This window comes from Homo sapiens, chromosome X (assembly GCF_000001405.40).
Source record: "Homo sapiens chromosome X, GRCh38.p14 Primary Assembly".
NCBI lineage: Eukaryota > Metazoa > Chordata > Mammalia > Primates > Hominidae > Homo > Homo sapiens.
Window position 1 is genome coordinate 9,658,147 of NC_000023.11, and position 16,967 is coordinate 9,675,113.

The 16,967-nt window shown below is 43.0% G+C and overlaps 1 protein-coding gene across 4 annotated transcripts in view, besides 1 other annotated feature; it reads left to right on the top strand.

Annotated features, from left to right (window-relative positions):
- The window catches only part of TBL1X (transducin beta like 1 X-linked), a 256,446-nt gene that overhangs the window by 194,852 nt on the left and 44,627 nt on the right, over window positions 1-16,967 (top strand). The window lies entirely within an intron of this gene.
- Window positions 3,478-4,677: an enhancer, noted in NCBI's record as "P300/CBP strongly-dependent group 1 enhancer chrX:9629664-9630863 (GRCh37/hg19 assembly coordinates)". NCBI's record gives its function as "activates an origin of replication core promoter dependent on BRD2, BRD4, P300/CBP, MED14 and CDK7 cofactors, with strong dependence on P300/CBP, by STARR-seq in HCT116 cells {active_cell/tissue: HCT116}" and the evidence as "EXISTENCE:reporter gene assay evidence [ECO:0000049][PMID:35650434]".

The following is a 16,967-nucleotide window of genomic DNA, read 5'->3' on the forward strand; positions in this document are numbered from 1 at the left end:
AGGCCTCCCCAGCCATGTGGAACTGTGAGTCCATTAAACCTCTTTCCTTTGTAAATTACCCAGTCTCAGGTATGTCTGTATTAGCAGCATGATAATGGACTAATACAGTGTGTGAGTCCATTGGCCTCTGTCTTACGGGATCCATTGCCTGGTCACTTGTGCTATCTGGGCAGTTTTTAAGAATCACATGGTGGCCATGTGCCTTTCCCGTGAGCTCGTGTTACCATCCCAGGAGGAGAGAAGCAAGGGAGCGAGCCCCTAGAAATGTGCACAGCCTGCACCTGCTGTAGTGAGCAGCTCCCCCAAATGCTGGGGGAGTCGTGAGTTGTGTGCCCCCGCATATTTCTGAATACAGCCAGGGAAGTGGAAGTCCATTTTCCACTTAGTATGGAAAGAGAGAAAATTTGGCAAGTGAGTCCCTGTAAACATATTATTTCCTCTGGGACTTCATCCCAAAATCCAAACTATAAAGAAAACATGTTCTCCCAGACCCACATTTTTGGCATAAATTAAATAATTCACAGGAACTTGCAAAACGGTATGAGGAATACAGGGGGACAGAACCACAGATTCAAACTGAATTTAACTGAGAAAGAGCTGCCTGCAAGATAATCGGGTGATACATTCAGGGGAAAGGGAGGTACTATGAAAAATTTTGTTTTTTGAGACTCACTCATGCTGAGGGTCTCACTCTGTTGCCCAGGCTGGAGTGCAGTGGCACGATCACGGCTCACTGCAGCCTCTACCTCCCAAGCTCAATTGATCGTCCCACCTCAGTCGCCCAAGCAGCTGGGACTATAGGCTTGTGCCACAAGAAATTATGCCCAGCTAATTTCTTATTTTCTGTTTTATTTTATTTGTAGAGACAGGGTCTCACTGTGTTGCCCAATCTGGTCTCAAACTCCTGGGTTCAAGAGATCCTCCCCCCCGGCCTCATAAAGTGCTGGCATTACAGGCATGAGCCACTGCGTTACCTGGCCAAAAATATTTTTTAAAGAAGTAGAAGATACTGTCTGAAGAGGAAAGAAGGAAGGAATGCGCGGAGCTGGCTTGAGCATAGTCAACACACAGGACAGTTCTGTCACCCTCAAAATTGCCTTGTATCCCTTTGTACTCAGCTCCTCTTCCACCCCCACCCTGCCCCGGCAACCACCACTGCTCTGTCCCTAGAGTTTTGCCCTTGCAAGAATGGCATAGAGATGGCATCACATATTGTGTGGTCCTGAGAGTGTGACGTCTTTCACTCAACCTTATGCATTTGAGATTCATGCATGCTGTTGTGTGCACCAGCCATTCATTCTTGAATAGCTAAGTGGTGTTCCATTTTGAATGCTGTTTCTGCGATTTGTTTATGCATCCTCTTGTGGAGGGACATTTGCGTTCTTTCCAGGTTTTGGTGATTCCAACATAAAGCTACAAAAAAGATTTTCATACAGGTCATTTGTATGAACGCAGGTTTTCATTTCTCTTGGGTAAATATCTTGGAGTGGGGTTGCTGGGTCGTGTGACAAGTGTAGGTTTCACTTTACCAGAAACCAGTGCATTCTTTTCCATCTAAGGCAGAGGCAGGACACGTCGTAAACATGACTGGTTTTATAGACGTGAGTTGAGTCACAGAACTCCTCTGCCTGTCGCACAAGGCATACTGGAAAGTATGTAAAGGGACGTTAGCTCTGGCGTATATATCTGCAGGACGCTCATGAAGTGTGATTCTTCCTTTGAGGATTTGCAGCTAGCCTTCTGGACTAATTTCATGAACCTGTCAGGGTCACAGTTTCCATGGGCCGACATGAATGTAGCCCAGGTCGGCTGAATGACAGAGCGTCCTTGTTTGCATACCTTCCCCTCCTTAAGCAGTGCCGTTGGTCTAACCTTCTGCTTAAAAATAGAAAACTCTATACAGCCTCATCAGCCCTCCGGTGGATAAGCCCAGGCATCTGGGCAAGGCAAAGGCCAGGCTTCCAGATAGCAGGATTCCGCAGGCTGGGCCCTGTGGCGGCCACGAAAGCTCTCTGTGCATTTGCCCACATACCCATGGTATCAAAGTCATCGAAAACCCAGCGAAGTATTTCCCTACCTGGAGCTTTGTGACTGACGTCCACACACCACCAGGAACAGGCAGACAAGTTAATAAAAACCATGTGATGATGGTGGTGGCGACAGTACTGAAGAAAAAGAAACACAAGTAGAAATGGAATTTCACTAACGTTGTGTCCGGCACAGGGATGTTACCAAGTTCCGTGTCCATGACGGCAGTAATTTTAAACACTGTAGCTACTAAAAGGAGCTTGTCACCATAATAAATGGTAAAAATCCACTTCTCACACACGCTGAATTCCCAGAGTGAGGAACTTCTGGCTTAGCTCTAAAGATTTAAAGACCCTAGAGGATGGTTGAAATCTCCTTATTCAGTGGAACTTATGTTCTGATTTGCCCTGATTCGTAGCTGAGAGGCCAATTTATTATACATTTTTCTTGCCTCCATTAACGTCACCAAACATGGGTTATTCAGAGTGAGAGTATCACTAGTTATCAAAAGTGAGCATCTACACTCTGGGCACTCTTGTTTTCCTAAAGAGCCCATTTCTGCACACCTGACTAGCTGGGTAGAAGTAGGCATGCTTCTTTTATTTACATAACGTATATATGGCTCTGTGTTATATGTCATCCTTGCTCATAAGGAGGATAGTTGCTATGGTCCCAATGTTTCTGTTCCCCCGAATTCCTATGTTGAAATCCTAACCCCCAAGGGGATGGTATTTGGGGGTGGGGCCTTTAGGAGGTGATGAAGTCATGAGGAGAGCTCCTTTGCCCCTTCTACCATGTGGGAACACGGTGAGAAGGCACCATCTATGAATCGGGAAGCGGGTTCTCACCAGACACCCAATCTGCCACATGTTGATCGTGGACTCCCAGCCTCCAGAACTGTGAAACACACATGTTGTTTATAAGCCACCTACTCTATGTATTTTGGTAGAGCAGCCCGAACAGAGTAAGATAATAGTGAAGTAGTACATCCACATGCCCAGACTTTCAGGGTTGTGAATATAACTTAGTGACATTTGTCATTCATTTCGTGAAGCTTCCATGCCAAGAAAATCATTAATAAGAAAGATTTCTACCCAGTGTGGAGGCCCACGCCTATAATCCCAGCACTTTGGGAGGTTGAGGTGGGTGGATTGCTTTGAGCCCAGGAGTTCAAGACCAACCTGGGCAATAAATACAAAAATTAGCCGGGTGTGGTGGTTCATGCCTGTAGTCCCAACTACTCAGGAGGCTGAGGCGGGAGGACTGCCTGAGCCTGGGAGGTCAAGGCTGCAGTGAGCCATAATTGTGCTATTGCACTCCAGAGTGGGTGACAGAGTGAGACCCTGTCTGAAAAAAAAAGAAAGAGTCTTGCTGGGTGACACACTTCACCTGCAGTGCTTCTCTCTGGTGGCGATGCCATTCAGGTGAGTTAGCCTCAGAGGAGTGCATGGAAGAGTGAGTGAGACCTCAGCGGCCTCCTCTTTCCACAACAAACCCAAGCACAGAGATAAAAGGCTGTGCTGAGCGCCCACCAACACGCAGCGAGGTTATACTGTCCAAAAAGAGTACCTGGCAGATGACCCAGCAAGTTCACAGCGGGTAAGCTGGCGTGGGTCTCGGTTAGAGTGAGGTGGAGCGGAGGGGAAGGTTCCCTGTTCTTCAACACTTTCTACAGAAACATAAGACTGAGGGTGAAGTGAGATCCCCTCTGAAAAAGCACCAGGTGTCTTGTGGGGGCCTGATGCTGAGGGATGGGTTGTAGCTCATGCCCTGTAGAAGAGAACACTGTTCAAAGCCAACCAGTCTGGATTCAAGAGGGGTCCTGGGAGCTTCAGTCTGTCCGTGAAAGAAGCACTTCCCTGAGGCTTCCCTGTGTTCCAATGCCCTTCATATCCTAGGCCTCTGAACAGGGTGCTGTCAGTCGAGTGGGATTCATCATCCTCAAGTTTTTGCCGGAGTGGAGGCCAGGCTGTGTGCTGGGCTGATCTCCTCCTGTTGCATCTGTGAGCTGCTGTTGTGAGGACAGTGGCTTGAGAGAGCTGAACAGAAAGACATGCCCCCTCCTTCCAAGACTGACCTCACACTTTAGGGGAGCAGTACAGTGTCCTTTAGAACACCTCAGCGGAAGCAACCCAGATGTCCATTGACAGAGGAAATTCCATCAACAGAACGTGTCCATCCATACAGTGGAATATCATGACTCAGCTTTGAAAAGGAAGGAAATTCTGACACAGGCTCCAGCACGGATGACACTTGAAGACACTATGCCAAGTGAAATTAGCCAGCCACAAAAGGCAAATACTGTAGGATTCCACTTAGAAGGGATACCTCGAGGAGTCTAATCCAAAAAGACAGGCAGTGGAAGGGTGGTTGCTGGGGGATGGGGAGAAGCAGGGGACGTGGAGTTGCTATTTAATGGGTACAGTTTCCATTTTGCAAAATGAATAACGTTCTGGGGATGGTTGATGGTGATGGTTGCACAGTAGTGTGAATGCACCTAATGCCACTGAACTGTGCACTTAAAAATGGTTAAGATGGAGGCCAAGGTGGGAGGATCACTGGAGGCCAGGAGTTTAAGACAAGCTTGGACAACGTAGCAAGACCCTGTCTCAATAACAAAAAAAATTTTCAAAAATTAGCCAGGCATGGGCTCACACCTGCAGTCCCAGCTATTCAGAAGGCTGAGGTGGGGGGATCACTTGAGGCTGGGAGGTGAAGGCTGCAGTGAGTTATGATCACACCATTGCATTCCAGCCTGGACAAAAGAGTGAGACCCTGTCTCTTAAAAATTTTTTTTAAAAATGGTTAGCATGATATATTTTATGTTATATATATTTTACCACGATTTTAGGGGGAGGTCATGGTATTATAGGTGAGAAGTTCCATGTGTAGATTGTTTTTCAGAGTTTAGAAAATTAGTCTCAAAGGGAAGAGAGAACCACCTGTATTCACAGTAATATTAATATTACTAATATTACATGATAAGGGCTTTTTCATAGTCCCATATAAGTGTTTGGGGCAAATCCCTGGCACAGCTAGTATCATTTGTAAGCTACATTGGTGTCTGACAAAATCCAGTTATTTAAAAAACAGAAAACAGTGGCTTATTTATAATAGCAATATTCTGGACATATGGCCAGTGTCCATCAGTGGGCGTAGTTGAAGCAAGCTGTGGCATGCCTGTGCCGTGGAGCACCACTCAGCTGTGAAAAGGAAGGAGTTGTGGGTAGGCACAGCAAGCTGGAGGAACCCCCAGAGAAATGTGCCGAGTAGAACAGGCCACGTCAGAAGATTGCAGACTGGGCCAGGTGCGGTGGCTCATGCCTGTAATCCCGGCACTTTAGGAAGCCTAGGTGGGCAGATCACTTGAGATCAGGAGTTTGAGACCAGCCTGGCCAATATGGTGAAACCCCATCTCTACTAAAAATACAAAAAAATTAGCCAGGCGTGGTGGCACATGCCAGTAGTCCCAGCTACTCTGGAGGCTGAGGCAGGAGAAACGCTGGAACCCAGGAGGTGGAGGTTGCTGTGAGCCGAAATTGCACAGCTGCACTCCAGCCTGGGCGACAGAGCGAGATTCTGTCTCAAAAAAAAAAAAAAAAAAAAGGAAGAAGATTGCAGACTATATGATTCCATTTATAGGACCTGCTTAAAGTGCTGAAAATATACAGGTGGACACCAGATCAGTGGCTGCTACAGATCTGGAGTAGGGATGGGAGCACGTGCGTACAAAGGAAGGTTATAGGAGAGTTCTTTTGTGTTGAATGAAGAGTTTGGTACCTTGACCAGAGACACAGTTCCACAGATCTACACGTAGGATCAAACTGCATAGATTATACGTACACAACCAGTGAATGCAGTGCAGAAAGGATGACGATAGTTTGTGTTCCAGTGAGCATTTCCGTCCTGCCTCCTACTTAGTGGTGTTGATCCTCTTTGACAGTAGTGTAAGATGCCTAGATGGGAGGAGACAGGATGAAAGGTGCACAGCACTTCACTAGTTTTGCAGTTTCCCCTGAGTCCATAGTAATTGCAGAATTATTTAATTGTAAAAAAGACTATACCAAAAATGTAATTCAATGTTTCTATTGTCTGCAAAGCTTTGTGTGTGTGATAGATGGTGGTCCATAATGCAAAGGCAGCCAAGACATTTTTATTATATTTCGCAGGTCATTAGCCATATTGCAGGCCTAGGGCTGGGTGGGGGTACTCTCTTGTGTAATGGATTCGAGTGGCAGCCCTATTAACTGAGAAATGGATGGCCACACAGACACTGTGGGGCCGTTGGAAACAGAAGAATCAGCTGGAAGCAAACAGCATTTGTCATACGGACATTGCTTGAATGTTTGCAGACTGGGGACTGTCGTTTCTGGGTGGGCTGCATTTTTACTGGGGGAAAAAGTCGGTGCATGGCTTCTTCCCTGCTCATTTACCAGTGAGTCTTAGAATGCTTTTACAATATCCACTTAGAACCTTCAGTGTGGAGGATTCTGTTAGATTTATGTGTTCAGCCTGAGAGAAGTGGGCAGATTTGAGGGTCTTAACTTCTGAAGATGTTGTGAATGGCCACAACATATAATGCATTAACTCAACATTTTCAGCCCATTCATTGAGATCAGGGTTTCTTGGCCTTGGCACTATTGACAATGGCGGCTGGATTGTTCTTCATCTTGGGGGGACTGTCCTGAATACTATAGGATGTTCAGCAGCATCCCTAACATTTGCCCACTCTCTATTACAATGGAGAGAGAGTGGGAAGACATTTGTCAAATGTCCCCTGGTGGGTAAAATCAATGTCAGTTAAGAAGCACTGATTCATATCCTTTAGTTGTAGGATTTTTTTTTCCTTCCAACTGGTTTTTCTTGGGAAATGGAGTTTTAATGGCATTCTGATTTCTTTGCCCTTCATCTTGTGTTCTCCTTGGGCTTCATTTTGATTCCCTTACCTGCAGAACTCAAATAGACGTTCACGGCAAGCAAAATGCAGTCCTTGTTATTATTAAAATTTTGCAGGTATTTTTTCCCTTGAGGAAGGAGAAAGTCTGCCAAAAGCATTCTCTGGCAGATAATAAAATAATTGAGAGTAGCAGACTTTCCATTTGATTTTTCTTTTTTGGCTTGGCTCCTGGTGAGTAAGTTAGTTAACCCGGAAAAGGGTGTTACTGAAACTGCCTTTGCAAATATTGTAACGGAAGAAATTATGACAGTGAGAGAAATCTGACATGGCTGACTCCATCTTGTCTCTAGCTTCACAGGCTGGCTGTCTTTGCTCATTCCTGGTTAAAATCAACTTAATTAAAAACTGATATTCAAGCTATATATATATATATATATATATATATATATATATATATATATATATATAAAAGGCCTTGGTGCTTTTTCGCTTCTTGGATCTTGTTTAAGAAAAATTTTTCTTTGTTTTTCTTCTTAGTCAGCTGAATTATTTCCCCAGTCTGTTTTCTTGCCACTCTTGATGCCCACATGAGAGGACCTAAAGTAATTTCTGACAGCCCGGGACTCCTTGGGAAAAACACAGGAGGTGCCACATACCCTGTTTTGAGAAAAACCTACGTTTTCCTCATGGAACCCCAGGAATTGAAGGAGGCTAGATCCCTCTCAAAATCTAAGGCTCTGTTCCGTGTTACCTGATGTATTTTGACTTTGGGAGGTATCAGAAATTACTTTGCAGGAAGAAGAGCTTTTAGCCTGTGTGTGTAATAACTAGGTAGGAAATATACTTTAAGGGATGGCTAATGGAGTTATGGAAGGATACTCAGCTCTTTGCACTTTTGGATTAGAGAAGCATGCTGTCAGCCACCTAGAAGGTATGGAAATATTTCTACCCCACACTGAGAGATGAGACTCCCTTGGGGGATGGGCTGATTGGCTTTGGATTGCCTTGCAGTGGAATGCAGGGTAAAAGCATTGCACTCTCTTCTCCCATTGCATTCCCCTCTTTTTGGGGATCCAAGATGTCATATAAAAATGGGACCCTTAATTTGGGGGATCTGTTTTTGCCTTCCAGCTATGCCTGCTTATTAGGCCCTAGAAACTACATGCTCTCCTGGCTCTGTTTCTATAAGGGCTCCACCCTGAAGCCAGTAATCCAATGAAGAAACTTAAAAATTGAAAGATAAAAAAATCATATAACTACCGGATCCCCTTCTGTCTGTGTATTTATATGTGTTGTGTGTGTGATGTTTATATAAAACATGTTAATGTTCCTATTAGTTGACTTTTAAAGAAAAAAAGTGCTAAAAAAAAATTGTCAGAAAAATAGAAACATTAATGCATTTAGGTCACGTGACTCTAATCTTTGAAAAATAAAGGCAATTTAAAATATTATTGGTAAAGTAAAATGTCTTCAACATTTATACATTTGGTCTAAATTAGGCAGGTCAGATACTGTTTGCTAGATGCTTTAAGCCCATAAACTGCTTCTGTGATTTTTAATAATTGTTTGACTTGTCTGTTTTACAGCCATTGGATTCTAGATAAGGCCTGGGGACACGTGGAATTAGCCAGGTGCCCTAGCTAGGCTGGGAAGAGTCAGACATTGTCTGCAGCTCTGTCTTTGTCCTGGGCTCTATAATCTAATACATGGTTAAAATTGCTTACCTATCAGATATTACACCACAAATTAAAGCTACTGAGAATTAACATTGTAATATACTGGAGAAACAATTTTACTTATAAGGTATACAAGGAAAATAGAATGTATTTTTGGTAAAATGTTATAAGAAGGTATGGAAATACGGTTTTTGTTAAAGGGAAGGTAATGTTGTCTAGTTCAGGGGATTTTAAGGATCGTCTTAACCTAAAAGAGCGATAAGACAAAACTGCAAGTTTAAACAAGCGGGAGGATCACAAGGTCAGGAGATGGAGACCATCCTGGCTAACATGGTGAAACCTCGCCTCTACTAAAAATACAAAAATTAGCTGGGCGTGGTGGCGGGCGCCTGTAGTTCCAGCTACTTGGGAGGCTGAGGCAGGAGAATGGTGTGAACCCGGGAGGAGGAGCTTGCAGTGAGCTGAGATCGGCCACTGCACTCCAGCCTGGGTGACAGAGCGAGACTCCGTTCCCCCCTACCCCCAAAAAGAACAAGCTATAAAGGGTTTGTGAAGGATTGATCTTGTAAAGGAAGTTCTGTGTGTATGAGGAAGTTGGCTAAGATTTGAAGGAGATTATTTCAGTTTTTGGTAAATTAAACATTAAAATAAAAGCACACTGATACAGGGCTCAAATCTGGGCCCATGTGTCTGAATAATGGTTTTCTTAGGAAATTAATCAGCTGTTTAACAGAAAATTATAAAGGGTTTTAAAAGGTTTTTGAAAATTTTACCTGATGGTCAAACGAATTAAGATTATATAGATTTGTTTATAAGGTTTTATTAAGAATTGGGTTTAACATTAATAGTACACAAATGCAAAGGTGAAATTTTGCTTTTTCTTTTAAACAAGATTTTCGTGTAATATTAAGGGATACAAAAGGTTTTTGTTTGCCCCTTTGAGTAAATGGCAGGGAAAAGGAAGAGGGGAAAGGAAAGAGATTCAGTTGGCTTCATGCTGTCTTCATTGGGTCCTGTTGTTTGGAAAGCTGAGGCTCCTATCAAAGTAAAGATTTTTTCCTTCGTAAAATTTTTGAGTTATCATTTTGGCTAAATGAATGACTTAGGTATGGTGACCTGGGATTCTATTTTGTAATATCTAATGTTTTAAACCTTTGATATTTGACAAACTTGCCAAGATCAAATTCTAGGTTATGTTTTAAAAAAAAATTAGGACACCTAAAGTCCAAAAGAGATATATTTGGCTTATTCAATATATTAAAACCATGCAGGAAGCATTGTCAAATATAAAATGGTGTTTAACTTTCTTTGGGTTATATTCATATAAATATGTTATTAGTATGTGTTACAAACTTGTGTAAGATTCCTATAATTCTGATGTTTCAGTGTATGTTATCATTAATAATTATAATTGTTATGTTAAATTGTTGTGTGTCACAGAGACGACCAGAATTCCTTGTTGATTGCATCTTTATGGCTGTCCTGAGACTTGTGTCATCCATAGACAATTATTGTCTTGTGTTGCTCCTTTTCAGAAGGCAGTTGTTATATTCAGCTATAGGACTCTGACAGGTACTCTTGAATGCGGGTCTCTGATAAGTTTAGAAATTGTGCCATTGGAATAGGAAAAAAAAAAAAAAACTTTTGGGACTCTCGTGGAGAGCTGATGTGTTAAACATTGCTAATCCCTTTGTTATTCAGAATCAAGAAAATGTTTTCTTTTTAGCTGTTTACCACTTTTAGCAATTGAATAAGATAAACTTGTGCAAAATTTACTGTGAGCAAAATTTGGAGCATGTTACTTTTTCTCTACCTGATTTCTGCAGAATTTATAGAAACTATTTGAGTATTCTCAACTTATGGCAGTATAGTTATTTGCATAAGTGCAGTAAGAATCTGTTCTCTTTTGTAACAGAACAGAATTAGAAACACTGGTTATTTTACCAAGGCTTTGACTGGAATGGCATGCATTCAAATATAAACAGACTGCTTTAAGGAATCAAAGTTGACTTACAGAGCCAACAAAAGCCCCTCAGGAAAACGCCTCATACCTTGTGCGGTTTCTGTACAGGGTTCCTGACTTGTGGTAAGTAAAGAATGTCATTTTCTGGCGGGCCTAGGGAGCCCCAAGTTATCTTGAGACCTTGGGTGGAGGAAAGAGCCTATTATGGCAAATAATTCTTCTTGCTGCACTTTATACAAATAATCAGTCCAAGCATAATAAGACTAAGACTTATTTTGCAAGTAAATTTGTCTTACTATGATTTGTCTTTAATAAAAATGGGGACTAGAGAGAGAAAAATTATGTTTCAAAAAACTATAAACTTCTTGAGTTTTCATTATCTTCTGTTAACACTGAATTCTTTGTGGGCTACAAGTCCCCAAACTAATGCTTTCAAATTTTTCTTCCACTTTTCTAACTTGGACTCAGTAAAATGCTACTACCTTGTTCCTGAGGCCCTGCAAGCTGAAGCTTATTCCTCGTAATATAGGCGACAAAAACGTTTCAGATTTTCACTGCCTGCCTCATCTATAACGAAAGAGGCCTAACCCACCTGCATTGCCACCTCCTGATATGGGAAACAGCTGTTTAATTAAACATCTAGTCTCAGGACTAGGAAACTGACCTAAAAAGAATATGGGATGATATATGTAAAATGTGTTCTTTCCTGTCCATCCCAATCTGTCTGTCTAACAACCACTGGCCCAAATCTCTCTGCTAGCCGCCCCATGTCTGATTGGTTCTCAGAGATGTTCACCTGGGTCCCTCAGAGCTTAAGGTCCAGTCTACAAAGGCTTCGGAAGCTAGGACTTCCACTCTTTATCCTAGGACCTTATAGCTCACTGTTCACTTCAATGCTGTGCCAAAACTACAGATGACCATCCTAATGCCTTTGTCATGCAAGCCCTGAAACCCCAACCAGGCACATGTGAGTACATGCAGACAGCTGCAAAGGGGTTCCACTCCTTTTACCTTGGGGTCTGCAGCTACACCCACTATGCCCACTGTCAGCAGGAAGAAGTTAGGGCAGTCGTCTCTTCTTTTTCCATCTTCATAGCCCACACCTTAAGAATAAGGTGTTATAAAACCCAAAGGGAGGGATTGAAACCACCTTTGCAAAAATTATAACTGAGAACATGTTGACAGTGAGAGAAAACTGACCTGGCTGACTGTCTTGCTTCTAGCTCACAGGTTGACTGTCTTTGCTCATTCCTGGCCAAGCTAACCTGGGGGAAAAATTTAGTTTATAGTTTCAATGATAATAGTCCTTCCCCCAAACTAAATGTTGTTGTAAAACTAATGAAAGGCTACCAAATTAGGATGAGAGGGGCTTGAATTCTAAATAATTTACCATTATGCCATTATGCCATAATAATTTGCCATTATGCCGGCAGTCAAGATTTGCATCTTCCCCTTGAAGATAGCATCACTGTTGTAGAACCTAAGATTGGCCTTTGAGATGTCTTTTCAGGTGTTCGCATTTCTGACAACCAGATTGCCCCACTTGGACCTGCGAACAACCGGTCCTGTGGCCCCCCCTACTGAGGAATGACTCAGCATAAGAGGACAGCTACAATTCCCTATGATTTCATCTCCAACCCAACCAGTCAGGATGCTCCCTACCCCACCCCACTGCTCACCAAACTATCTTTAAAAACCCTAATCTCTAAGCCTTCGGAGAGACTTGATTTGAGTACTAATAAAACTCCAGTCTCCCGTACAGCCGGCTCTGCATGAATTAAACTCTTTATTACAATTCCCCTGTCTTGATAAATCAGCTCTGTCTAGGCAGCAGGCAAGGGGAATCCATTGGGTGGTTACATTACTCTTAATATTTGTGAATAATTGCATCTACAAAAATGATTAAGTGGCTTTGCCCACTGTAATCCTAGCAGCTGACAAATTACTCTGTAGACTCCACTGTGTTTCCTAGGGCCATGGAATGCCTTCTTATGCAAGACACGTTTCCATGGATTCAGGAAATCATTTTAATGGTTCAGCTATCTTAATTTAAACAAAAGTTCAGGGCTTATTGTTCAGCTGAGTCTCTAAAAATATTTTTTGACTGCAGCGGCTCTTTTACATTGCTAATGTGTATCCATGTTTAAAAAAAGAATCTTTATGAAACAGTGAAGGCCAGCATTTCTTTGAGGTGTTGGCAGTCTTTGCTTTAGGAATAATAAAGGAAAACATTAGTTTCATCAAATAATAAAATAAGGAAGACCTGAATAAAATGTCCACATTAGTAGAGGATGAAAGTACCCTGAAACTCTGCAAAACAGTAATGTCTCATGCTTTGATGTGATCTCATTAAGTGAGAGCAGCACATTTTGCTGGTATGTTGGGACCCCCCAAGACCACCCTCAGGCCCAGTGGTTTGCTGGAAGGGCTCACAGGACTCAGTACCTGCCACACTTACGGTTTATTACAGTGAAATAATACAGATGAAAATCAGCAAGGGGAAAAGGCATAAGGCACGAAGTCCAGGTGAAACTAGGCACAACCTTGCAGGTGGCCACCCCCAGTGGAGTTACAGAGAAGCTGTTAATTCTCCCAGAAGAATATATGATTGGCCATGTGCGGGAGAGTGGCCAGCCAGGGAAGCTCACCTGAACCTTGGCGCTCAGGGTTTTTATTTGGGGGCCATTCCTGTGGGCATGCGGCCCATGCCGAGGGGTTCAGAAGGAAAATAGGAGAATACAAGGCTATCCACACCACTTCAGGCCCAGGCCACATGGAAATCTGGGTGAGGTTCTGTATCTGTCGTTGGTGCATTTATGCATTTGTTAGATGTCAATGATAAAAACTAATTTCTAAGAATGTGTAGGAGTGGGTAAGTAGCTGGAGAACGTGATACCCAGGCCTTTCATATAGAAAAGAATAGCACATCACCCTGGCCAGCTGTGTGGCATGAACAATTGATCCTCCTCCACCAAGTATGTCCATTCTCCCTTTGCTAAATACAGTGGTGTAGGTTTGCAGAGCCTCTGCTCACATGGGAGGTTATGAAGGGGCTAATTGTTCAATTACCAACCCTCTCATAACTGTGCTAGTTGCAAACAAACTGTTTGAAAAGACTGTTTTGCTAAACTGTTCTCTTGGTGTGATTATAACCATTTACAGTAGCAAAATGCAGGAATCCAGAAGTTCTTACATTCCAGATGTTCATAACCATTCCACTCTCCTGGTTCCAGTGCAGTTTCAGTTGTACGATCTTTTCTAAGTTTATTGTTCTAAATTAAGACTTGCCATTCTTATGCTCATTAATTTGTTACAGGGAGAAAAAGCAATTAGAATGAAAATCAGTTGAGTATTTATAAATTACAGTTGTTTAAGTATACATCTTGTTCAGTGTAGTCAAAAATTCTCCATTGGTATTGACACCCACAAAAATGGTCAGATTCTGTTGAAGATGCACATAAGCCTTAAATTTCACTTCCTACTTTAAAAATTGGTGACGATGTGAAAATGTCTAAGAGAGTCCACATTTCCTGTTTTAGATAAGATGAAATAGCCACTCACCAAGGTGCCTGTCTTCCGAGTTTATTCACCGTTACATTCAAGACTTGCCTGCTCTGAAATTCTACTGTGACCTTAAAAGTGCCCAGCATTGATATGTTTTATGCCAAATTCTATTCCCTTTCTTGCTTTCCAGACCGAACAGCAAGCGAGTTGTCTGGACTGTCAGACACAACACTGTCCCTCTTCCCCGAAGTCTCTGTACATCCCTTTGCTGGTGCCTCCTTCTCCGTTCACTTCTCAACTACTACTGTCCTCAAGATGATGTTCTTTTTACCCTCCCACATCTGTGCCTGTAGTAATATGTCACTCTCTTCCTCCTGAAGTCTGAGTCCCATCCCCAGTCTCTCTGCTGATCCCCCAAGTCTGAGTGTCCACTCCCAATCTCTCCAGTGACTCCTCCCCTCCAAGTCACGGTGTGTATCCCCAACTTCTCCATTGCCATCCATACTGATATTTTGAATGACACTTCACGAGCACTCTTTAATGTAAACCCACACTTGGTACCATCACCATTTCCCTACCACAGTCTGTCCACTTCAAAGACAAGCTTCCTCTATCCTGTGATTATGTCACTCTTTGCCTTAGTCCATTCGAGCTGCTATGACAAAATACCATAAACAACAGAGATTTTTTTCTCACATTTCTGCAGGCTGGGAGTCCAACATCAAGGTGTGGGAGATTCAGTGTCTGGTGGGGACCCGCTTCCTGGTTCATAGATGGCGCCTTCTCCCTGTGTCCTCACGTGGTGGAAGAGGCAAGGGAGCTCTCTGGGGTCTCTTGTATAAGGACACTCATCCCATTCATGAGGGCTCCACCCTCATCACCTCCCAAAGGCCCCACCTCCTAATGCCATCCCCTTGGGGGTTAGATTTCAATATATGAATTTAGAAGGGCGGAGAGAAGCATTCAGAATTAGCACTGTTTAGTAGAAAAACATCAGGATTGTGTTCAAACATTTTTTTCCATGTTATCTTTCCTACTGCCTCCTTGTCTTCAGTTCCCTCCCCACCACCTGGCACCCAGATATCCTACCCTTGTCAGTGTTACCTCTATCCCCCCATCACTGTTTTGTTGTAGTAACAATATCTCACATTTGTCAAGCACTTGCTGTGTGCCAGGCATGATTCTAAATATTGACAGATGAAACTGTTTATTCCTACCAATCCCTAGGAAGTAGAAACAGCTCCATCCTCATTTACAGATGAGAAACCCAAGGTACTGAGAAGGTCCTGGCCTACCCAAGTCACTTCAAGGAGGTCATACAGCTGGGATTCAGAACACCATCCATCTGGCTTTGGAATCTTTCTCATTTTTTCATTTATTCAACATTCATTGAAAATAATGTAATAAAAATTATATATGTGTATCTATATCTACCTATAGATGCATATGTATATATGTATATATAGCTATCATGTGCTACGTGATGCTTTCAAATACAGTTGGCCCTCCATATCCTCAGGTTCCCCATCCACAAATTCAACCAACTGTGACTCAAAAATAAATTGGGGGCTAGGTGCGGTGGCTCACGCCTGTAGTAATCCCAGCACTTTGGGAGGCCGAGGTGGGTGGATCACCTGAGGTCAGGAGTTTGAGACCAGCCTGTCCAACATAGTGAAACCCCATCTCTACTAAAACTACAAAATTAGCTGGGCATAGTGGTGCATGCCTGTAATCCCAGTTACTTGGGAGGCTGAGGCAGGAGAATCACTTGAACCCGGGAGGCAGAGGTTGCAGTGAGCTGAGATCGTGCACTTGCACTCCAGCCTGGGCAATGAGCGAAATTCTTTCTCAGAAATAATAATAATAATAAATTGGAAAAATAATACATTGGAAAAAACAAAAATAACAATACAACAATTAAGATAATACATATATTTTTAATTTTTAAAAGTGGCAGTTTTATTAGAGCAAGTATGAAAATATGAATTAAGGTTGCAATGAGCAGCGCAGCAGAGAAGGGGCTGCCTGCCCTCCTCCCCCCGCCCGATATATATTTCATGTGTGGGACAGGGTCTCACTGCATTGCCCAGGCTGGAATGCAGTGGCATGATCTTGCCTCACTGCAGCCTCAGCCTCCTGGGCTCAAGCAGTCCTCCCACCTCAGTCTCCCCAAGTAGCTGGGACCACAGGAATGTGCTACCACACCCAGCTAATTTTTCGTAGTTTTTATAGTGGCAGTGTTTCACCATGTTGCCCAGACTAGTCTCGAACTCCTGGGCTCAAGCGATTCACCCACCTTCGCCTCCAAAAAAGTGCTGGGATTACAAGTGTGAGTCACTGCGCCTGACCTATTTATTGTTTTTTAAAGACAGAGTCTCTCTCTGTTGGCCAGGCTGGAGTGCAGTGGCACAATCATGGCTCACCGTAGCCTCAGCCTCCTGGGCACAAATGATCCTCCCGCCTCAGCCCCCCCCCCCCCCCCCCCCCCCCAGTAGCTGTGAGTGCAGGCACGGGCCACCACACTCAACTAATTATTTTTATTTTTTGTAAAGATGGGGTCTCATTTTGTTGCCCAGTCTGGTGTTGAACCCCTGGCTTCAAATGATCCTTCCACCTCGACCTTGCAAAGTGCTGGGATTACAGGCATAAGCCACCACACCCAGTGCCAATCTTAGTTCTTTGCTCGTTATCTGAATTTTCACCATATTTGCATACACCTGGAGTATTTTCTTAAATTGAAACAGTTGCTTTTTATTAGATATACCAATACCTGTTAGTTTACGAGTTTCATTTAGTTCTATTGTTCGCATAACATACATTTAAATAGCTATTAAATTTCAAACATTTGCCCTCACGCTACTTAAAATTATTTTGAGTACCGTCAGAAATGTGGAGGCCA